The following is a 24,517-nucleotide window of genomic DNA, read 5'->3' as shown; positions in this document are numbered from 1 at the left end:
GCTTAAAAGCGTGTAGCACCTCCCACTTCTATCTCTTTCTCCTGCTCTACTTATGTAAGATGTGCCTGCTTTGCCTTTCGCCATGATTGTAAGTTTCCTGAGACCTCCCCAGCCATTCTTCCTGTACAGCCTGCATAACCATGAGCCAATTAAACCTCTTTTCTTTATAAATTACTGTTTCAGGTATTTCTTTATAGCAGTTTAAGAATGAACTAATACACCACCCAATCAGCAAGGCTTTAAATAAGAATAATGCTTCCACACCAGGACTTCCCTATTCTCAAGAGGACTTTGAGGTTGACTCTGAGGCTTCTAATTAGATAACAGGTATAGTTTTATTTTCCTGTTTTTTGTTTTGTTTTGTTTGTTTGTTTGTCTTTTGAGACTGGGTCTCTGTCACCCAAGCTGGAGTGCAGTGGCTCAATCACAACTCACTGCAGCCTTGACTTCCCAGGCTCCAGTGATCTTCCCACCTCAGCCTCCCAAGTGGCTGGGACCATAGGTGCACACCATCATGTCTGGCTAATTTTTGTATTTTTGTTAGAGACAGGGTTTCACCATGTTGGCCAGGATGGTCTCAAACTCCTGAGCTCAAGTGATCCACCTGTCTTGGCTTCCCAAAGTGCTGGGATTACAGGCGTGAGCCACTGTGCCTGGCCACCAGATATAGTATTGTGGTGTTTCAGCAATGACCACAGGCTTTGAGAATCTGTAGCACTTAGTCCCATTTTTTTTTTCCATCTAAATTTTCTGACCTGGTTTCTGTTTTGTTCCATGTTTTGTCTGGGCAAACCCTTTCCGAGGAGACCAGCATCCTGTTGATGCACATTGCCTTCCTGTGTGTACTTCTATCACAAGTTTCAAAAGCCATGCCCACTCCCACAAAGCCGAGTTCCTTCTCTCCATCTGCTCCATGTTGTGAGACAGACACATAGATTCCTGGTAACGTGTTACATAGATGAACCCAGAATCAGGAAAAGACCACTCAGGGACAGAGAGTTTCCATGAGGAGAACCCAAAAGACATCAGTTGAATAGGCATATAAGGGGTGATGACTTGAGAATAAGTCAAAATACATGGAGTAGAGGCAAAAAAAAAAATAAGTTCTGGTTTTATTCTGGTTTTAGAAATAATTAGAAAGAATTCTAAATGGATTCAGGATTAAAGGTATCAGACATATATGCCAAAGGGCCCAAATGTCAAGATTACGAGAAGTGTGGAATGGGAAAGAAAATGAAAAGTTGTGCAGAGAATTAAAGTTGGGCACAATAAGTCGCTTCTGCAAAATGACATTTGGCTAAACCATTAAGCAGCTTCATATTTTGTTTTGCCTATATAGGCTCGAGAAAGGAAACTTCCCCTTTGCCTTCTGAAGGTTCACTGAAAATGAACTGACAAAATGCAGATTAATAGGAGGAAAAGGCATATAAAATTTTTTAAATGCCGGGTATGGTGGTTCATGCTGTAATCCCAGCACTTTGGGAGGCCAAGGCCAGGAGGATTGCTTGAACCCAGGCATGAAGGCTGCAGTGAGCCATGATCATGCCACTGCACTTCAGCCTGGGAAACAGAGTGGGACTCTGTCTCAAAAAACATAAATAAAATGTTAAAAAATTACTTAACATGCATAAACATGGGGAAGTCACAGCAGAATGATTACCCAATAACCCAGTGAGGTCTAGATGCTTATATATTTTTTTCATAGAGGAAGCTGAGATGGGAAGTATAGGAGTACATGATTTTCAAGGGAAATAAATGAGCCCAGAAACCAATGGCCTGCAACAAACTTCCTCTGAGTTCTGGGAGAGATGGCAGGACATCATGGTGAACAAAGATGGTCTTATTACGCAGATAAAGCTTTCCAGGTATTCTCTTTGAGCTGCCACAGAAAAATAGATAAAAAGTCTGCCTGGATATGGGGAAGACTCTCAGCCTCTTCTCTACTCTGGTAGTTAATATTTCCTGGTTATTGAATGAGATTCCCAGGGAAGAGGATACTAAAACAATTGCATTTCTTTTGGAAAGAAGCTTTCTTAGTCAGATAAGGAAATCCCAGAGAGACTGTCTCCCTTCTTGTGCTTCAGAAAGAAAGAGAATCAGAGAGACAGAAGAAAGATCAGAGAGAGACCTTGCTTGTGAGGCTTATTTCTGAGGGCTTTCAGTTTTCTTTAATTTAAAGCAACCGGCTTGCCAAAGCATCATATTTAGTAGTATCACTTTCTGATCCCCAACACAAATGGCCAAGTGAGTAATAAGTCTTTGAATTATCTGAGATCGTTATATTAGGTGTGGTATGGTTTTATATCCCACACCTTTAAATGAAAGGAATAGAAAGACCAGCTCAACAAGGAACCAACTTGATGCAGGTCAGTTTCCCTAAAGAAGACTAAGAGGAGATTAGCCTGCAGGATGTTTAATGAGGAATGTTTTCAAGGTCAATATCTACGTGAAACATAAGAAAGCCGGACTTGGCAGAGGGAGATGTTGGGCCCTTATTCAATCACAGAAAGAGATCAGCTAACCCCATAAGAGCTCTAAAGCTTCTAAAGCCCTTGAAATATGTCCTGAGTTGAAGCAAAGGGGCTGGGTTTGATCCCTGAATAGCTTCAGATTGCCCCTGAGAAGGAGTATGACCTCCAGCAAGGTGGGCCTATTCAGCTTGAAACCACTTTTGCAACATTATGACCATAAGATAAATCTGGCACAGTTGACTCCATCTTGCATCTGACCTTCAAGCTGTCCATGGTCATTCCTGGGCATAGGTCAAGCTAACTCTGGAAGGAATTTAGTTTATAGTTTAACTTGAAAGCAGAGATGATAGTAGTTTCTCCCTAAAACTGATCTCCCTCCTCGCTCAGGGACTGAAAACTGTCTTTGTAAGATTAATGAAAAGCCACAAGAATAGAACTATGACAGGGGCCTGAACTCTGCTAAAATGTAGGTGCGGGTTCTATAATGCCTTACTGCTCAGGAGTCATGTGGCCAGAGGTTACAAGATTTGTGACCTCAATTGCTCCTATAGATAACATCACTATTGTAGAACCTGAGATTGGTTTTTTTTAAGAGATTTTTCAGACTGACCCCAGCTAGACTCGTGACTCATGACTCAACTCATCCTGTGGCCCCACACATAGGTGAACTCAGTGCAAGAGGACAGTTTTCTACACCCCTATGATTTCATCCTCAACCAAATCAGCAGCACCCATTTCCTAGCCCCCTGCCCACCAAATTGTCCATATAAAACCTAGCCTCTGAGCCTTTGGGAAAACTGATTTGTCTTGAGGAAGTCTTCTCCCATGTGGACTGACCTCACATTAATTAAACTCTTTCTCTACTGCAATGCTGTGGTCTCAGTGGATTGTTTTTGTCTGTGCAGAGGGAAAGAAGAAACTTTCGGGTGATTACAATCTAAGACAAATTCCTAGAAATATTAGACAGCTGAGAACTATTTGTACTCCCAGTAGCCGGAATAAGAATTTCAGTGCTGTAGGAAGATCTCAGTTACGAGCACAGTTTTCACTATAGAAAGATAACCAAAAGATATTATTTTATGTGAGTTTGGATGCATTTTGAGTTACAGATTTATTCCCCTCTCTATTTTATCTCTGTGCCAGCAAGGGAGGTTCTGGCAGTGTAGAAAGCAGAAGTAGCCAACATAAATTTCGCACTTAAGACTTCCAAAAATTTTATATGCAATGTGGAGACTAGGGTTCCAGGGTAGCAAGGGATAAGATTGTGGATCCTAGATCAGTAGGGAGCTGGCCCGGCTGCCTGGCAGCACTCCAGAAAGGTAGCAAGATAAAAATCTGTGTGACAGTTTTAAGAAGAGAGAACATGGACATTGGAGAACCCAGCTTCATGAAATATCTCTGTGTCCTAAGAGGAGCTGGCTCTAAGTGAGCTATGGAGATGAGCAAAAGGGATGTATTGGCGTTCATCCCTGTGACCATTACCAGAGGATACCTACTCCTTCCCCATTAAGAATCAGTGGCACTAAATAAAACCCTGTCAGCTCTGGGGATGGAGGGAAGCCCAAAGCATAACAAAGTTTGAATATCTTACCAGCCTACAGGATAAGGGCTTAGAATCAAAGTCATGTGTAGTCATAAAAAAAATGAAAGAATGCAATATTTCTTGCAAACCTAAGTTTCTGGCCTGAGGTCTATACTGGGTTGAAACCTATGCTGAACTAGCTCAGGAATAGAAAATTATGACTGCAACTTCTATACTGGTAAAACCAGTATAGAATATTCCAAAAGATTTCATGCCATACTTAAAAATTGTTGCTAGCAAGAATGAACAGAGTTTCTGTGCTGCCACAGAAAGCATTGCAGTAGAGGGACCTCCAGGGGGAGATTGATACTTCTAGAGAAACAAGAGACATAAAATGTTTTGGCAAGTCCAAAAGACTTGTGGAAGACCTAAAAATATTTACATAAGGAGAATGATAGCAGAAATCCAATTTAAGGGGCCAAGAGTTTAGAGTCACCTAAAAAGTGGAAGTAATCATACAAGGAATATGTGCCGCCAATATTTAATATTTCTTTTAACATCTTAATAAAACAGATACGAAATAAACAAAAGTTTTAAAACTAAGGAGAAAATATCCAGATACTTTTGCCAGCAACCACATGTCTTTTTTAAGGAATAGCAGAGCTTTGTTGTGAGTCTGCTATGGTCCGAATGTTAGTAACCTCCCAAAATTTGTTTTGAAACCTAACTCCCCCGACTAACCCATCAATGCAATAGTATTAAGATGTTAGTGTAAGGTTAGCTGAGAGAAAAAACGAGAGAGAGACCGAAGTTCAGGCAAGCCTCTATTTAACCTGCCGGCTGCTCCATTACAGACACAGGAAGCAGCCCTGAGCTTACAAAATGAGAGGTTTATATGGGGGAGAGAGACCCTGGGCTCATTTGTTGGTTAATTCTGCCACATATCACCTTGTGACGTTTATGGTGCCGGAGGGTGTAGGTAAAGTTTGTTAATGCTTCCCACGACGTACCCCTGTGTGGTCTGCATAGTTTGTAATTGGAGTTTGCTTTATAGCACCAAAGCCTGACAGGTAAAGTCTGCTGGCTTCACCGGGGCACCTAGATAAGGGCTTAGAAAAGTAAAAAGGTTTAAGAGAAAGGTGGGCAGCACGGAGAGGTTTGGGTGGAGTGTTGGCAGTACCAAGAAGCTTTTTAGGGCAGTTTGTCCCTAACAGTTAGGCCTCTAGGAAATGAGTAAGTGGGATTAGTGCCTTTATAAAAGATGTTGAAGGGAGCTGCCTTGCCCTTTCCACCATTTGAGAACACAGCATTCTCTTCTTCTGTCATGTAAGAGAGCAGGACCTTATCAGACATCAGACACTGAATATGCTGACGTCTTGATCTTGCACTTCCCAGCCTCCAAAACTGTGAACAATAAATACCTGTTGTTTATAGGTTACCCAATCTAAGATATTTTGTCATGGTTGTCTAAGCAGACTAAAACGGAGTCCAACAGAGAATGTGTTGGAGATTATGTTTATACAATAACTTTATCATGACTTTAGCCTGAATACATAAAGAATAAGACATTTTTCCATTTGTTTCATTTGTCTGAAATGTCTGTAGGATGGCAGACTTTAGCATTAGGATACATATAATTTTCTGAAGGAATGTTAAATTCTGTCAACTCCAAGTCTGATCAATGTGGCTATATATATTTTAGGTGGGATTTCGCTATAGTGGCCAGGCTGTTCTTGGACCCCTGGGGTCAAGTGATCTTTTTACCTCAATCTCCCAAGTAGCTCATATTACAGGCATGTGCTACTATGCCTAAAGTCATACTTATTTTTAAAATTTCAGATATACATTATGTATTACACCATAAGTATCCTGGAAAATCAATGATATCAGCAGGAAAGAAAACAGGGAATCTTGAAGAAAAGCTGAAATATTAAAATAGAAATGTTTTACCAATGACACTATGTTTTGAAAAATTTTAGATTTACTCTCTCAAAGAGTAGCATAAATTATTTAAACTTTTGGGTAGAATTTTGAGTTGTTACCTAAAAATTACATCAGAAGGATCAAGATTTATGTCCACATTTACATATGGCAATTTTGTTCGCAATCTGTCAGAATTGACGTTTTATGAATTTGAGATGATGTAGGAAGAGGTATCAGATCCCCCTGGCATGAATGAAAAAAAAATGCTAATAGGTTTCTAGTGGAGGTTATTAAGCAGCCGGATATAGAAATCAATAGAACTGTGCATTTATGTAAGAGAAGGTTATTGAACAGAAAATTGCAAGACTAACAGTAAGGTTCTGTTGAGAGAGGTTTGTGTTCAAGTTAGCTTTCTCTGTATTCCTCTCTTAGTCTAGCTCAGAAATAACTATAGCAATATGCAGGAAAGCAGATGGAATCTGGCACCATTTCAAAGACTGCAGATTGGATGCTATGTATTTAAACTGCATGTAATTGAGAAATTATGAATGAGTCTTTGGGATAGAAAACGTCAACCATTTCCTGTTTTGCTGCAATTGCTTTGATTTATAATGACTTTATAAATAGTAAAATAAAAGGAAATGTATGTACTAAAATATTAGAGCGGAAGAGGAAAAGATCAGTGAAGTCACAAAGTATGCCATTTTTTTAATGGAAAATGATTGACATTCAATTAAGAGACAAAAGTAATAATAAGCTCACCCTTATATAACCATAGTATCAAAATATAGAAAGCATTATAATAAGCTCAAGTCAATAGACAAAGATACAAAATGAATAATGCAGGGCAAAGTCTGTCTTTGAAAAGGGAGATAGAAATTGCCTAATTGCAATTTTCCTCATTGTTTCAAAGTCAATCTTTTTGTTCTCTGATATATCTGCAGATAGTTTATTTTGCTTCTGACTGTGAGGTAATCAACATCTTGCCCCAGGCATAGCTGGTATTCAACCTATGTTTCTCCGTGCACTCAATAGGGAAGCCAATAGCAAAAACAGGCAAGTGCTAGAATTTAACATGTTGACTAAAAACTCAAGGACTGTAGCTTGGTGGGAGTTCTGGTTTTTCTAGGCAGTAATTATACTAAACAACATAAAGCGTACTTGGTTTACATACTGTTGGAATCAATGAGCCAACCCACTTTACATTTACATATCATGTTCTCTTAAGTCTTTTATCTTAGAATTACCCCAAGCAATGACTCAAAGGCCCTTGCTGTTTAATGAAAAGAGTTGCAAATGAAACCTTACTACTGTAAAACTTACCAGAAGTTGGCATCTGTCTCAGTAAGCACTTTTGTGTCAGTTTGTCTTATAAGAATCCCTCGTTCTGAAAGACCTGAATAAGTAATGCTGTTTTCTTCTTCCTTTTCAAGTAGATGGTATCCAATATCCAGCAATGTCATCATGAAATTCTCTCACAATTCTTGGTAAATTCTAAACGTTTAAAAGATTTAGGAATTTTTCAAGCAGTCTATCCATTTTTCTCTGATTTTACAAAGCTTTGAAGAGTCTTTCAGAAGAGTCTCTTCTGTTGGGGCACATGTATGCATATGTAACAAACCTGCAGGTTGTGCACATGTACCCTAGAACGTAAAGTATAATAAAAAATAAATAAAAAAAAAAAGAATGACAGCTGTGCCAAGATCACCTAAGGCTGATGACGGCTAGCAAAGTTCTTTACTTAAATCTACCATAGCCAAATAAACAGCACAAAGCTTTCAAAAAAAAAGAAGAGTCTCTTCTGTCCAGTTACTTCAGAGATAGTTCCTATTACAGAAAACAGATAACCCCTGAGAGAATTACACAGTAGGCTCTTCTCCCAGCATCAACATAGAGTTAGTTGATATACACAATAGGTGTTTGTTTATTTATTTATTTAGGGACAGTCTCACTCTGTCACCCAGACTGGCGTGCAGTGGCATGATCATGGCCCACTGCAGCCTCAACCTCCTGGGCTTAAATGATCCTCCTGCCTCAGCAGCCCGAGTAGCAGGGACTACAGGCATGCACCACCACAACTGGTTAACTTTTTAAATAAAAAATTTGTAGAGATGGGGTATATGTTACCTAGCTATGTTACCTAGGCTGGTCTTGAACTCCTGGGCTCAAGCAATCCTCCCACCTCAGCCTCCCAAAGTGCTGAGATAACATGTGTGAGCCACCATGCCTGGCCTAAAAATAGATATTTGAATTGCATGGGGAGCATAGAGAAAACTAGTTCCCCTAACAATCCACAAATAAAAATAAATACAATTATTTGGGGGTAAAACTTGTCAGCCTTTGTCAAATAAAACAAATCCAGACTTAAAAAGGAAGACTTTATCAAAAGGATTACTCCAAGCAGGGAAGAGGCTAATGGAATAGAAGAAAAGAGAACTATTGCAATGGTAAGAATACCTTGACATAGATCTGGTTGCTCCAAAGGGTTAGGCAAAAAGGGGTTTTCTTCTACAGAGAAGAGTTAACAAACGTGGTTAGAAACAGGTGTTACAGAAGTAGGATGAAAGGATGGTGGGATTTGATAGTAGATCAAGACATATTTTACTCTGAAGCCAGCCAATTTTCCTATTTTTCATAAGCAGCTGTATGCTGGTTCAGGCTAAGGGTGGGCCAAGTTTAGGAGTCTGGTGGAAGGAGAGAATCTTAACCAAAATTTGTTTAATAAGAACTTTGTTTCCAGTAATCAGTGGGGACAACAAATTCAGCTAATCATTTAGGAGAAAAAAATGAAAATTTGGAGGGCCTATGTCTGGCCTTGTGATAGGCAAATAAGCCATCAGTGAGCCTTATCTAAGTCCTATGGGGAAGGGTAGTTATTTCCAGTAAACTATTCTCTGGAACACAAAAAGGTGGAGGTTGATGGGGTTAAGGACACACTACCATAAAACATGACTCCTTGGCATTTCAGAAAACAGCAGAATCAAGAAGGTCCCCCTGACCTTCTTCTGCCCTTCTCCCTTGATTCAGGCTATAAAAGAATTCTCCAGTTTTCCTCTAAATCAAGCCATAAAGACTTCATTCCAGAGGTACCCTCCCTATTCCTTGAGAACAGGAACATTCTAATCTCAGAAGACACAGAGATGCCAAGAAGAAATTGAGCAAATAGGCCTTGCTAAGTACCCCCCAATACAATTTGAATGTCTCCTCCAAAACTCATGTTGAAATTTAGTTGCCAATGTAATGGCTTTGGAAGGTGGGGCCTTTAAGGGGTGATGAGGTCACCCTCATGATTGGATTAGTGTCATTATCAGGGGAGCAGGTTAGTTATTGCTTGAGGGGGTTAGCTATTACATGAGTAGGCTCCTGATAAAAGAATGAGTCTAGCTCAATTCCTTCTATCTCACATGCTCACTTGCCCTTCCACCATGTTATAACACAGTACTTTGCCCTTGCCAAATGCTGGCACAATGTTCTTGTACTTCCCAGCCTCCAGAAACATGAGCCAAATAAGCTTCTTGTCTATATAAGTTATCCAATCTGTGGTATTGTGTTATACCTGCAGAAAATGGAGTAAGACATCACATTGGTACTTAGAGTGGGATTGTTGCTATATCAAATACCCGAATGGGGATGTTTACCCTATGCCTGTCTCATCATTGTATTTTGGAAATATATAACTTGTTTTGACATCACAAGCTCATAGCTGGAGGGAATTTGCGTTGGGATAAATTGTGCCTTGAGTCTCACCCATATCTATTTTAAATGAGACTCTGGACTTTGTACTTTTGAGCTGATGTTACAATGACTTAACACTTTTGGGATTATTGTCATGGAATTAATTTATTTTGTATGTGAGAAGAACATTTTGAAGAATGAGGCACAGAATGCTGCGGTTTGAATGTCCTCTCCAAAACTCATGTTGAAAGTTAATTTCCACTGTAACAGTATTGGGAAGTGAGATTTTTAAGTTGATTAGGTCATGAGGGATCTGCCCCTATGAACAGATTAATGCTGTTATCTCAGGAGTGAATTAGTTATCATTTGAGTTAATGCCTAGTAAAAAGGATGAATTTGTTTATATTTCTTTTCTTTGTCTCACATGCTTATTTGCTTCTACCATGATATAAAAAGCCCTCACCAGATGTTGGTAGCATGCTCTTTGACTTCCCATCCTCCAGAACTATAAGCCAAATAAAACTTATTTTTTTTAAATAAATTAGTCTGTGGTATTCTGCTTTAGCAGCAGAAAATTGACTAAGATACCCCCCAGTTTATTACCATTAGATCATACCCTCTCTGTTCAATTACAGTTCTGCATGACTGACCACCCATTATCAAACTTAGCATAAAAATACACAGATTCCCATTTCATGGAGTCTTCATTTCTGAAGGCTCTTGTGTCATGTAAAACTTATATTAAATAAATGTGTATGTGTTTCTCTTGTTAATCTGTCTTTAGTTAATAGAGATTTCAGCCGTGAACCTTGTGATAGGTGGAGAAAGAAAATCTTTCCCCTCTGCAGGGGATTTCTGATTTCTTTAACCTTCACTGTTTTCCAGAAGTACATGGCTCAGGTAAAATTCAACATTGTCATCTTTTATGTATAGGCATATTTTATGGATATAAGAACTGCTCATCTTAGATTCCTAGTCTCTAGTGTTGGCCTGACACATAAAAGAATTTCAGTGTTTCATGAGGTCAAGGGTAAGACTCCTTATCTTGTAAAGGCAAGGGTATGAACCTCTTGTACATACTCAACTTTATTTCTGCCTTGGTTTCATTAAAGAAAAATCCTTCAGACACTTGTTAAAGATGGTAAAGAAAACTTTATCCAAGAAGAGGACGACTGCAGTGGTGCCTTTGTTAATAGGAGAGAGATCAAGCTCAACTTTAAATACAACAAGGACAGGTGGGGATCAGTTGGTGAAAAATTAGTATGAGGTAATATAAGGCTAGGGAGATTCCAGCTCAAGGTAGGCCAGGGTGATATTGAGAGTGAGGGATAAGAAATTTGATCAGATATTGAGGCTGGGAGATTTTTTCATTGAACTGATTCAACAGGATTCATGCAAAAACTGGACTAAACACACCAAAGACAAAGACCAAGTATAGAGCCTAATCAGAAAGAGAACTTGGAGAAGACTGACTCCAGTTTAGTCAAGGATTCTTTGTCAGTCTAAAAATATTAGCAGGCAAAAATCTGACTGTAGGAAAATAAAAGAAATAAGGTGGACCCCAGCCATCGTAATAACTCTAAAATCCCTGAAGCTCAGGCAATCCTATTTTAAGCATATTTGACAAAGAACAGAAGGGGCTTTGTGATTCCTAATTAAGATCACAGCCTACCACAAAAGCTGGTTCTTCAGGAGAAGTGTGAATTGATTTTGCATGAACAAGAGCTAGTTTAAATTGACATAGGAAACCACTTCTGCAGACCCGCTGACTTCTTAATCAGAAGCACCTCCATCATCATGGCCACACTGCCTTGTTAGACAATTGAGGTCATTTGTTGTGGTTGCAGGTGTCACTTGCATTATTCTTATCTTCTAGTTTCACACTGATCTGATCTCTTCACAACATTAAAAAGACCTGAAACCCCATCTCTACTAAAAATACAAAATTAGTCAGGCATGGTGGTGCATGCCTCTAATTCCAGCTACTTGGGAGGCTGAGGCAGGAGAATCGCTTGAACCTGGGAGGCTGAGGTTGCGGTGAGCCGAGATCATGCCATTGCACTCCAGGCTGGTGACAGAGCGAGACTCAGTCTCAAACAAAACAAAACAAAACAAAACAAAACAAAAAGACCTGATTCACCTTAACAGATTTCTTCACTCCTTCCTGCTAAAATAAAGGCCTTTTGTGTTCTTCAAAAGTCTAAGGGAACTGGAGATGAAACAGTACCTGGGGAATTTAGAGAAGGAAAGTGGAGGCTCCCCGCAAAGGAACACAATTCTTAGGGTGGAGAAGAGATGCAATTGAGGTTATTTTATTCATTCAGACTTTGCTGCACATTGTCTCTTTAATGACAAAAGTTTTTAGATGACATATTTATAAATAATTTTCAAAATAATGTTGTTAAATTTAGCCTTTGACTCTATCCTATGTATTTTCCAGAGCTGATAAATAAAAGTTTCTGCAAAGTCAGAATTTATTCTTTTATGCCTCTGTCAATAATGGATTAGTCAAAACAAAAGGATTCTACGTGTGTGTGTATAGTGATTACATCATGCTGTTCCACCTCACTGCTAAAGATTATCATGCCTCTGGAAATATTTTGATTCTGAAAAGATATGGCCTGACTTCCTTAGTGCCAGAGAAAAAAAGTCCTGCTATTTTCCACTGTTTTCCTTGCTAAACCTCTCATTCTGTTCCTTCAAACTCATGTCCCAAGTGACTGAATCAAACATCAACGCTATAGTCTTAAATACCCCTAAGCAACTCCCTGAAGTGCTTGGAGGACTACTCAGACAAGGTACTGATGGAAGATTTGATTGATGATTCATGGGTGCTGTAGACAAAAGTGAAGTGGTGGCACGAAGCTAGAAAAGGAACTGCTGCTAAGACTGAGTATTCTCCCAGAAACTGTTCCCTAACACACCTGGATTACCTTTTCAAAGACATACACATACTCATACACACACAGAGACACTCTGCTTTTTAGTGAATGACAAAATGATTTTGTTGTATATAACTTTTTTTTAACCAATTAAAGAGAAAACAATTACATTAACTTCAAATCTATGGCCACGGTAATTTTTTTTTCTCCTCCATTTGGCTAAATGTTTGATAATTCCAATATCATTTCACTCGTGGATAGATCACGCTTCTGAATATGAATACTGGGCTCAGGTACACTCCTCACATTTTGTGAATCCTTCACCTAATTAATAGGAGGTGAGTCTCTTAACCTGCTGCCCAGGTCCCATGGCAGATTATTAGCACTATTGCTTTGATTGATCTTTTTAAGTGCTCCTCTTGGGAAAGATATTTGAAAGTCACATTTAAATAAGGATTCAACAATTACTGAACATTAATTCTCTTCTAGTCTCAAATGCTATTTCTGGCAAAGGTTATGGAGACAATTTTAATGGGAGAAATACACCATTATTTAGTTACTCCTGATTCCCAATACACGGCAAATGGTTTGTGCTAATTTTTTTTACTGATCTTCTCTAATAATATGGATTTTCATTCACATTTGAATTGTAGAGAATAAAGCAAAAGAGAAAAGAACTAGAACTCACGGAAGCTTATTGTATCTCTTCATTCCAAATACAGCCCTCAGTGACACGGCATCTCATTCAAAGCATTTAAATGATGCAATTTAATTTGTATCCAACAAAATTCTTCCTTTACTCTCTCATCTGTCTTGTTCTCAATTAATAGAATATAGCAAAATCAAAAGGCTTTTTCCATTTAGAATCATAAAGCTGAAAAGAACCAAATCTCATTCACTAAGAAAAAGAGACAGACTCAAACAGTGTAAATAATTTTCCCAAAGACACAAAATTTCATAGCAGCAAAACCATGACTTGAGACCAGGTCTCTGGACATCCAGTCTTCTCACCTCTGCATAATGCTGCTTAAATATAACTTGTGAATTCGCTATTTTTGAAAGTCAAGCATATATCTTTTCCTACCCTGCCTTCAGACAAAAATTTAAAATGGAGAAAATTCAGATTCCAAAAGAAGTAATTATGTAATTGCGATGCATTTGAAATTTCTAATCTATATAGTAAAACTGCTTATGGAAGGAAAATAAAGGGGAACCATGAAATCAAAAAGGGAATGAGTTTGAAACTCTCTTAAATTTTACAAAACTTTTAAATGAAGATATATATTTTAGAAAAACAACCAAAATGCAAGCTAATGGCTGAGAGAGACATTAAAAATACAAAGCAATGCTAAATGCAACTTCACAAAATTTTTCTACTGTCAGGAAGGTAAGAAACCAATAAAGAAAAAAATGAGAATATTGGTGGATGAAACAGGAAATGAAGAAGCTCCGGATGGCAAATAGCTCATCTAGTAAGAAGGCAAAGAGGAATATAATTCACATATTAAATGAACACAAAGTATCTATCATCAAACATTGATTTTGCATTTAACCATCAAAGGGGACTTCGGTCAAAAAGTAGAGATAGTTAAAGTAAACCAAAGGTGCCAGGCCACAGAAGTGAAGAAAAATGATTACAGAATGTTATTTAAGGGAAAATGAGAAAACAGTTGAAGTATGGCTAAACAACAGGCTGTTTTATCCATTTGTATGCACATGTAAATCATATTATCTTCATAGAAAGTTTACACATGTCCAGAAAAACCTCTGCTTTCTCCCTTGAGCAAGCAAATAGTCCTGTTTAAATAGCAGCATGCTTGTGGAGGTTATAGGTGGCATTAATGACATCAGGGCACAGATAGGTCTTCTAAACCACTCATCCTCTTTGGAAAAGGGCTTTGTGATATGAGAAGCCATGGATCATCTATTTACTTCCAGTCCTCAGTGAGAAGAAAACTAGCCTGCCCATCACTGAACTGGCATGCCAGCTCTTGGAGTTTCTAACACACATAGCTAAGTAGTAAGAGACAGGAACTTCCTCAGGTAAGCCCCAGTGCCTGCCATTTCAAATGCATAACATCTCCCTTAGGCTCAAAATTAGTATTAGTACTAACATTATTTATAATGTTTTCTAAAATGTATCTTTCACAACATTTTATAATTATATACGATGCTTAAATTTAAAAATTCTACCTTTGTGCCAAAAATGCATACATCTTTTTCATATACATCTAATGAATAAGACAGAAATTCACATGATAGCTTTTTCAATGGCCATCAGTAGATATCACTACAGAAAGGCACACATAACCATGGTTAAATGAAAGAAGCCAAATTTAAAGTTTTCCAGAGGCATCAGTACTAATTTCTAGGACAAATGTCAATCACATTTGAAGTTAATCAGCAAGTACCCAGCTGGTTAACAGTGGGCAATTCAAGTTTTATTTGGACTACATACCCACCTTGTGGGGAAGACAGTTAAAAGGATACTTGTTCAAAGACAAAAGCTGCCTGTTGTGGTAGAAGAAAAGGTAGGATCTACTCTAATGCTCTAGCCATATGCTGCAGAAAAAAGTTATTTTTTTGTGGCCAATATGCTGTGACTAGTTTACTCTACGTCCCCACCTTGTGATCCCTAGTGGATAGGGGTATGAGGGGTTTCCTGGAGAAGTGGGGAAGATGATTCAGCCTCCAAATATCAGCTCTAGGACAACGAGTGTATGAAGGACAGAAAGAAATGAAGTTACTCTGGAAGCTACTATTGGATGGGAGGCAGGTGGGATATCCCTGAGAGGAAGAAAATCTTACTGAGGAGGAGAGCATTCAGGTTCCTTGACCTTGATCCTGGATCCCAGATATTGTTATTGAGAAAGCAGACTTCAGCACAGTGGTTTTGTTCATCATTGACTGCATAACATAACCTTATTCAAATAGGCATGAGGCATTTATTTCTTTTATAACACTTTCATTCTCTTTTCCTCTGATGGGTTTTCATATGAAAATGTAAAGAAAAGTTATATCTTGTGTGTTTGGGGTACATAATCTTTGGTACACTCATGAGACTATACCACGCTTATGCATGTCATTGGTCATGCACATTGAGTCAGTAAGGTGTAACACTCAGGTGGTATTGTTGAAAGTCCACTCTGCAGGTTGGAGTTGGGTAGGGCTAGAGGTTAGGGGAAAGGGGGAAACACAAAGAACAAAGCAATCCTTTAGGAAGCATAATGAAGAAGCAGTAACTTCTGTGAGTAGAGTATTCTCACTTCTTCAGGAGAGCAGCTTCCACTTCTGGAGATGCAGAAGATTTAGAACTTTCAAATCAAGCAGAGCAGCACTTAAGCAGCAACTGCTGCATGAGTCAGTAGGGTGGAAAACAGGATGGGTGAGATGGCAGGCAAACACAGAAGTCCAGCAGAAATGGTGTGTAAGAAACCAGTAACCACACCTGCTAAGGTCAGGGAGTTGGTATTTGAAGTCCCAGTGACTGTATTTGTTGAGGACAAGAAATCAATCCAAAGGTAGAGAAAGAGCTAAACATTCCCTCCTCTGTGTTCTCAAAACATGAATTACAATGATTAATAAACAGCAAGCATCCATCTACGTAACTCCCTCACTAAATTGTGAGCTTCTGTATGGGTTGGGACCATGTCTTACTCACCTGTCTGTCCCCAACACCTCAAGTAGTACTTGGCATAGAGTAGAGGCTCAAAAATGACTAATGAAAGAGAAAGTATAAAGACCTTTGGAAGAAGCAAGCTGAATAGCAGAAATGATACAGTGGTGGTAGTTAGAAGACTGCCTGTTATAATTCTGCCTCTGCCTATAAACCAGCTGTGAGACCTTGGAAAGCCCTTTAATATTTCTGAGATTCAATTTCTTTATTGGTAAAATAAAGATATTCTTCAAGATTGCTCTAAAATTCTATTACTGTGAAAATAAAATCAAGATGTTTTTGGAAGTTTGCTTATATTAGCTAAGTTCCAGCTTTTACTAGATGTAGCACCTCAAAAAATAGTGTATGTTAAAACACCTAAAGTGTTGAGATTTTAGCTCATCCTAGTAATGTACTAAACACTTAAAATTAACTGAATTATTACCTCAATGATAAAGTCACTAAGTTGTGAGAAATACATTTTTAATTTCTCCAATGTGAAAATATATTGTTCTTACCACTCCTATGACAAAGCTGTGAAGTTATTATTACTTTGCAATAGTTTAATTTCTGATAATGCCCCTGGAAGAGAATAAGCAGCTATGTCTTAAGTTGATGAGCTCTGTTAATCTTCTAGGTGATGCCTTTTTTACAGAAAGTAAAAATTGCAATTATCCTGGATGGCTTCATTCTTCCAAGGATGAGGGAGTTTTGTAAAGATTAGGAACATTTAAAATAAATTGTGTAAGATCATATTTATTTGTTTAATTATCTATGTAAGCCATAGCATAATGAAAATATTGTAATTGTGCCACTTTTCAAAGAAACACTAAGGAGAAAATTGTAAACATCGCGGATGGGGAATTATGCACACAAAGACTAATAGCCACAATAATGTTATTCAGAACTGTGCTGGTAATTTGCCCCTTAGGGGGTAAATTTAGAAAAAATATGTATAAGGTTTAACCACATGACTATCATTTAATGGGTGTTGTACTGCAAAAGCCACACACACCACATTGAACATTCAATAATAGTTTTTATTTTTTAGTTATTCTCCTGGTGGCTCCTCTAGTATCTCTAACTGCCGTGTTCTCAAACACAGCATTCTTTATATGGCGACTGCCCAACAAGTAAAATGAACTGGTGCTTACAACATATGATTAGCAATTAGAAATATTTTTTTCTTTCCACATTTAATTACCAAGGGCTTATTCAAGAAAAGGAACAAAAATAAAATGAGTACATGGTGTTTTTCTCTCTTGAGACCTAGGAATCTCAGCTGGTGGAATCTCTTTATTAAGCATTTCACTTCAGGATTATTTGTCAAAATATGTTATAGGAAATGGCTTGCTTTTTATGGATAAAAGAGAAACCTATGTTTTGTTTGGGAACTATGCTGATTATTCTCCATTTGCCAGTTCTTATCCATTGTTTTCTATTCTTTTCCTACTCTTTGCCCCAAGAGACTGACCCTATGCATTGCATCTCTCAGACTTATTTGTTAGTCGGCTTCCAGTTAAGTAGGCCTGTGAGAAGGGACCAGCAAGTGATCAAGGGCCTAGGCATCACCTCTCTGTTAGTAGCTGTACATCTCCAGGACTGCTGCTCCTGCTGATGGTAGACCAGCTCTCATTGGGCTTCAACAATTGTCTTTACATTCCTTATTCTTTCTAACTCAGAGAAGTTAACTGAATCTTACTTTTGTGAGTTTCTGGGTCCTCATCATCCCTATTTATTCCTCTGACTTGTCCATACCTTTGAAATGGAACTTTAATAGAAATCTTTTTATTGAAACCATTAGGAGTGAATTCGGTCTTCTTCTAAGACACTGGCAATAAATCTTAATGGCATATGCACTTAATGATAGTTAATGATACATACTTTTTACATGTCGAGTTGTTGCTTGATTATAAGTCAACTATTGCTATTCCAGTTATCTGTGCACTGTTTCGTTATGTGACAAAGTACTGTAATGGATACTCCTACCCAAATAAGTAAATTACTGGATTAATTGGAGGTACAAGGTCCTTGCCCCTTGCCTCAATTTGGCACAACTCTGAAGGGCCACATCAACTCCAGAGCTCACCGTAAGATTAGCTGATGCATCATTAGTTTCTTCACTATGGGTCAGCTTCTCCCTCTGCCCAATCTTGCAAATGTATCACCTAAGAAAAGCCCTCAGTAAATCTCCTGATTGCAAGTCCCAGTCTCTGAAACTGTTTCCAGGGAAACTAACCTAAGTCATACAGTGACTGGGGTCAGCCTAGACCTAAGCTAGTAGAGGAATATAGCTAAAGCTCAAAACTCAGCAAACACACCATGACTATTAGAATCAAATTTTCTTACAGTCTCTCATCATAAAAATTCTGCAAGCACCAGTGCAGTTCTCACTGAGAAGAGAAAAGATACTTTCTCTCTTAGGGTGTTATAGCTCTTTTTTTAGGCATGCCCAAAGAATGACTTTAGCTTCTAACACACCATGTTGTGTTCCATCAGGGCCTTGACAGGTTAACATTTGAGTTGCGTCAACTAATTTGGAAGTGGTATTCCCCCAAACCACCTCTCCTGTTTTCCAGTCTCTGTTATTCCTTCTTTCAGAGATTAGGACTGACCTTGCCTGTTGCAGGGAGTTGGTTCCATAAAAGCAAATTAGAATATGCGTTTCTACTGAGGCAGCCAGCTTGATATGGGCCTGAGTGAAACAAGTCACTCTTTAAAGAGAGCTAATCAAAAGCAATCACCGAGTCAAAAATGGTTAGAAACAAGTTTAAACTTTGAAATTCAGAAGGAGTGATATTGATAGGGATGAGTGGAGTAAAAATAGGTTCACAAGAAGTGAACAGAATTCTGGGCATCTGCTACAGAAAGGCTTGGGTTTTAGAGACTCATCTACAAGTGTGCTGAAAAGGTGGATAGGGCAAAAAATCAAAATACTATTTCCATCATCACACTCTCTCTTCTCTCAGTGATTCCTAGGGCAAGAATCACTTGCATGCTGATAAAAGCCAGGGAGGCTCAGAGAAGCTAGAAACAACTGGATCATCAACACAAACTACTGCACTCCACTGGAATTGGTGAGTGAACCAGAGCCTTGGTAGGGGTAGAACAGGAGATGAAGAAGGCAGAATGAGGGAAGTAGGCAGAGAGCCTTTAAATCTATGGCAATGACAGCATCAAGAAATAATGTCAGCATAATATGCATATAAGATAACTGGGTATCTAAAATTACATTTAAATGGATTAAGTCCACTAAAAATAATCAATACTAATTTTATAGTTTCTTTGTAAGATCAAACCTCTCCAACTGTTAGTGGTTTCTTCCCACATAGAATAGTAGAAATAAAATCAAAACAAAGAAAAAATATGACCATAGTTAAAAATGGAAAAAAAAAAAAGCCTTAAATGACCAATCAATTTTCTTCAGAAATACACATTTAAATATCATAGTTAAAAAGCTTACATTAGTTTCTCTTTCAATGCTTGAAAGTTAGCAAGAGAAAAATGTGATTTTCTTTGCAATAATGATAGCCTTGCTGTGCCTGCTTAGTATAAACAAAAGATAAAAATTGCTTAATAACACAATGTGCTTATTTGCCTCCTATTTTTCTAGGCCAACTCTAGCTAAATAAAAAAGGTAATTTAAGGTTAGTCTTTCATGAAAATGCTCTTTTAATGAAAAACAAACCTTTTCCAACTAACACCCATTTTAAACAGATTTAGAATTAAGAATCCTCTTTAAATTCAGGCTAATAAACTTAGGGTGAGTCTAAGTACTCATAGTTCAAATAGGTTTTTACCAAAAGATTTGCTACCACAGCAGACTGGATTTAGTGGGACTAACCCGTGAGCAAGGGACATGCAAAACATTAATAGAGTTACTCAAAAAATGGTCCTAATGAACTGCAACTAACTTTAATAGCCATTATTCAAGGTAGCTTCTGCCCAATTTAACCACATCCATGGAGGTGATGCTTTTAGGCAGGAGTGATCTTCCAGTCTCTTTCAATTTAGAAATACTGAATAATCTCCCAGGTATTTTAATCTCATAATGCTCTATGTGGGTTTCCATGGGTTTTTTTCCCCCACATGTCAATGCAGAATGGCAGATTTGCATTCTGTTATTTCTGGGAAGCTATTGCCAAGTATAAGGTGGGAAAAAGCACACACAGTGCTTCCCATGGTTTACTTCCCCCATGTAAGCCCACTTCCACTATGGGTGGAAGTGAGAGATTGGAGGCCTGAATTTTAAGGTGGTTCCCCAATTCCCACCAATTGTATACACACCATGTGTAATTCTTTTCCCTTGAGTGTGAGCAAGACCTGTAAACATGATGAGGTAGTCTCTCCCTTGATTAGTTTTATTATATGGCAATGATTGAAGCAGGAAAATTTTCACTGACCTCTTCGTGGGTAGGAACTGGAATGCATGGGTGCTAGAACTAGCCAGCTGCTTCACTGCAGCAGAGATGGATACCACTTGCTCGGTCCCACTATATTCCACCCTTTGCAGGAGGAGGAGCACAGATGAGCAGGTGCAGGAGCCAGGGCTGCTGGTTTTGGGTGCCAACAAGAGCAAAACTCCCTGCACCACCACAGCAGCATCTAGGGAGGTGCCCTTGATCCCTGAAGCCCCAGAAAGAGTGTTACAGGCAGCGCTGTTTTAGCTTTGCCATCTATGGATGACTTAAGTGTTAACAGCTCAGTGGAGGATCAGTGCAACAGCTTTTTGCACCTGCTCCTGAGTTCTTGTCTGGCATTCAGGAGGAATGAGGTCACATAAACAAATTGGAGATGGTAAATGCAGGGGATTTTATTGCTGATGAAAGTAGCTCTCAGCAGGAAAGGGAGATGAGAAGGGGACAGAGAGGGAAGACAATCTTACCCTGGAGTCTAGCTGATACCCCCACCCATCCCCAGGGACAATTTTTAAAAAGTCATTTTGTTCCTTACTAGCTGCCTCACCCATTATTTTCATAGTCCTGGAATTTGTAGTGCAAATAACAATATATAGCCATTTAATAGCTTACATTATTTTAATATAAATCCTTGGTAAACAACTTAGAAACTGCCTCTTCTTTTCCTTTAAAAACCTACCAGTAACTGCCAAGTGCGGTGGCTCATGCCTGTAATCCCAATACTTTGGGAGGCTGACGTGGGCAGATCACGAGGTCAGGAAATCGAGACCATCCTAGCTAACACAGTGAAACCCCATCTCTACTAAAAAATACAAAAAATTAGCCGGGCGTGGTGGTGGGCACCTGTAGTCCCAGCTACTCAGGAGGCTGAGCCAGGAAAATGGCATGAACCCGGGAGACAGAGCTTGCAGTGAGCCGAGTTCAGGCCACTGCACTCCAGCCTGGGTGACAGAGTGAGACTCCGTCAAAAAAAAAAAAAAAAAAAACCTCCAGTAAGGACAACTTGAATATATGCTCTATGCCCCCAGGTTGCAGTTCTCAAACTTGGCCCAAATAAACTCTCTATTTTTATTAAGTTTACCTCAGTTTTTTTTTCTCTAGGTCAACAACAGCAACAGAAAATGAATAAGGGTGAGGGAAGAGGGGTAGGAGTGGTTGGGATCCTGAGTAGTGTTATTGACTCTCCTGTGGTATGCATATAAAATATCCAGACTTTGGTATGGTTTGGCTCTATCTCCCCACCCAAATCTCATGTCGAATTGTAATCTCCACATGGCAGGGGAGACACCTGGTGGGAGGTGATTAGATCATGGGGGTGGATTTCCCCCTTGCTGTTCTCATAATAGTGAGTGAGTTCTCACGAGATCTGGTTGTATAAAAATGTGTGGCACTTCCCCCTTCACTATTTCTCCCTCTTTTGCTCCACCATGATAAGACATGCTTGCTTCCACTTTGCCTTCTGTCATGATTGTAAGTTTCCTGAGGTCTCTCAGCCATGCTTCCTGTACAGCCTGTGGAATGGTGAGTCAATTAAACCTCTTTTCTTTATAAATTGCCCAGTCTCAGGTAGTTCTTCATAACAGTATGAGAATGGACTAACACAACTTTCTCAAAGCTGCTTCTGCACAAGCCCTGATGGCAAAGAAGAAGGTAGTATTGCATAGTAGGTAAAGAATGGGCCCTTGAGTCAAGCTGTGAAGTCTGAATACTCATTCTGCTACTTATTAACTTTTTTGTGCCTCAGCTTCCTCATTTATAAAATTGAGATAATAATAGTTCCTTAGGTATATTATTGTGAAGACCATCTCTGCAACTCCATCATAATAAAGTTAGGATAGTTCTGTTGGAAAAACAGAAATTCTGGCTTAAATGAAAAAAAGTCTTTTTTTCTTTTATTCTCAGGTAACAAAAAAGTCTAGTAATTGAGATGGTTTCAGGTGCTAACAGGGCACAATGTCATCAGGGTGTGGTTTTCTGTATATTGTGGTATTCTTTCTTCTGTATGTTGACTTTATTCGTATTCTACTGCCTGTAATGGTAGTCAGATGGCTTTAGCAACCCCAATTTTAAAATCTTCTACCATAGTTGGTCTCCAAACAAATAAATGAAGAAAGAGAGGAAGAGAGAAAGAGAGAAGGAAGGAAGGAGGGAAGGAGGGAAGGAAGGAAGGAAGGAAGGAAGGAAGGAAGGAAGGAAGGAAGGAAGGAAGGAAGAAAGAGAGAGAGAAAAAGAAAGAAAGAAAGAGAAGGAAGGAAGGAAAGAAAGAAAGAAAGAAAGAAAGAAAGAAAGAAAGAAAGAAAGAAAGAAAGAAAAGAATCTTTTCCCCCAAGAACACTTACAAATTTCTCCTAGTGTCTTAATGTTTTGACTGAAATATATGCAAATAAGGACAGAATTCTCTGATTAAATAAGTCATAGTCCTTCCTTGGAATTGAGAATGGGGTCAACTCAATCCTATTCAAAACTCACACCTGAGACTGGAAGTATGATGGTTTCTCAGAAGAAAATCAAGCCACTTGTTATGGGTTGAATTGTGTCTCCCAAAAAAGACATGTTGATGCTCTAAGCCCCAAAACCTGTGAATGTGACCTTATTTGGAAATAGGTTCTTTGAATATGTCATCAAACTAGATAAGGTCATTAGGGTGGACCTATGGGACTTCTGTCCTGATAAGTACAGGGTAATTTGGACATAAACACAGACACATAGAGAAGATGGTCATGTGAGGATAGAAGCAGAAATATGAACTGAAGAATCTACAAGGATCTAGCAAATGCCAAGGATTGTGGGCAAATACCAGAAGCTAGGAAGAGGCAAGCAAGGATTCTCTCCTACAGGTTGCAGGGGAAGCATGGCCCTGCTGACACCTTATTTACAGATGTCTAGTCTCCATAAATGTGAGAAATAAATTCCTATTGTTTTAAGCCATTCAGTTCATGGTGCTTTTTTATGACAGCTCTAGGAAACCAATATGCTACCACTAGTGAGGATAGAGAGAAACATGATGCTAGGGAGACAACAAAAAATTATCCCTTATAGTTTCCCAAAGCAGCAAAGGAGGGCTCTTAGAAAATTAAATCACCCAGGCCAGGCACAGTGGCTCACACCTGTAATCCCAGGACTTTGGGAGGCCAAGGCAGGTGGATCAGGATTTCGAGACCAGCCTGGCAAACATGGTCAAACCATGTCTCTACTAAAAATACAAAAAATTAGCCAGGTGTGGTGGTACATGCTCGTAATCCCAGCTACTCGGGAGGCTGAGGCATGAAAATAGCTTGAACTTGGGAGGTGGAGGCTGCAGTGAGCCCAGGTTGTGCCACTGCACTCCAGCCTGGGCAACAGAGCAATACTCTGTCCCCCCAACAAAAAAACAGTAATTAAAAAATTAAATCACCCAGTAGACACTGTATACTTTGTCTGGTTTCACAGCTACTCTACTCTACTCATCACTCCTTTGTGACACTTCTTGGGATCAAGGTCACTGAGTACTCAATGGGAAGCAAATAATTTGGTTTTCCACCTTCTCTAAATAGACTTTTAAGAAAATGAAAGAAATTCAAAAGGAAGAAATATGTAGATATATGGAGTGGAGTGATGAATAATTCTTTAGCATTGGGTGAAGTGACCAAAGGTTATTAAAAAAAATTGTTTTGGAAACCATTGCCAATATCATCATGGTCTCAGCAAATAGTATAAACAAACACTATCATAGAGAAATCTTAACTTGAAGTTACTAATGCATAGCTTCCCAGTTTCACTCCTCAGCACAGGGTATGTAAGCATCTATATTGCTGTATTAGAGAAAGAGAAAGCAATAAGAAAGCTCAATCTACTATGTGCTCCTACTACTAGCTCTTATTTCATTTGATTATCACAACAATACCACTAGGCACATATTTGTGCCTATTTTATAAATAAAAAGGATAAAGATCAGAAAGTTAAGGAAGGGTAGTAATATACCATTGTAGGCT

At 38.8% G+C, this 24,517-nt stretch overlaps 1 long non-coding RNA gene across 1 annotated transcript in view; it reads left to right on the top strand.

Moving 5' to 3' along the window:
* Nucleotides 1–24,517, top strand: part of LOC105374016 (uncharacterized) — a 137,553-nt gene that overhangs the window by 84,354 nt on the left and 28,682 nt on the right. Inside the window, exon 10 of the long non-coding RNA XR_001740824.2 lies at nt 19,098–19,205. This is a non-coding gene — a long non-coding RNA (uncharacterized LOC105374016). The remainder of the gene's footprint in view (nt 1–19,097; nt 19,206–24,517) is intronic.

This window comes from Homo sapiens, chromosome 3 (genome assembly GCF_000001405.40).
Source record: "Homo sapiens chromosome 3, GRCh38.p14 Primary Assembly".
NCBI lineage: Eukaryota > Metazoa > Chordata > Mammalia > Primates > Hominidae > Homo > Homo sapiens.
The sequence above is the reverse complement of the archived record's forward strand: the minus strand, read 5'-3'. Positions and strand labels throughout refer to the sequence as shown.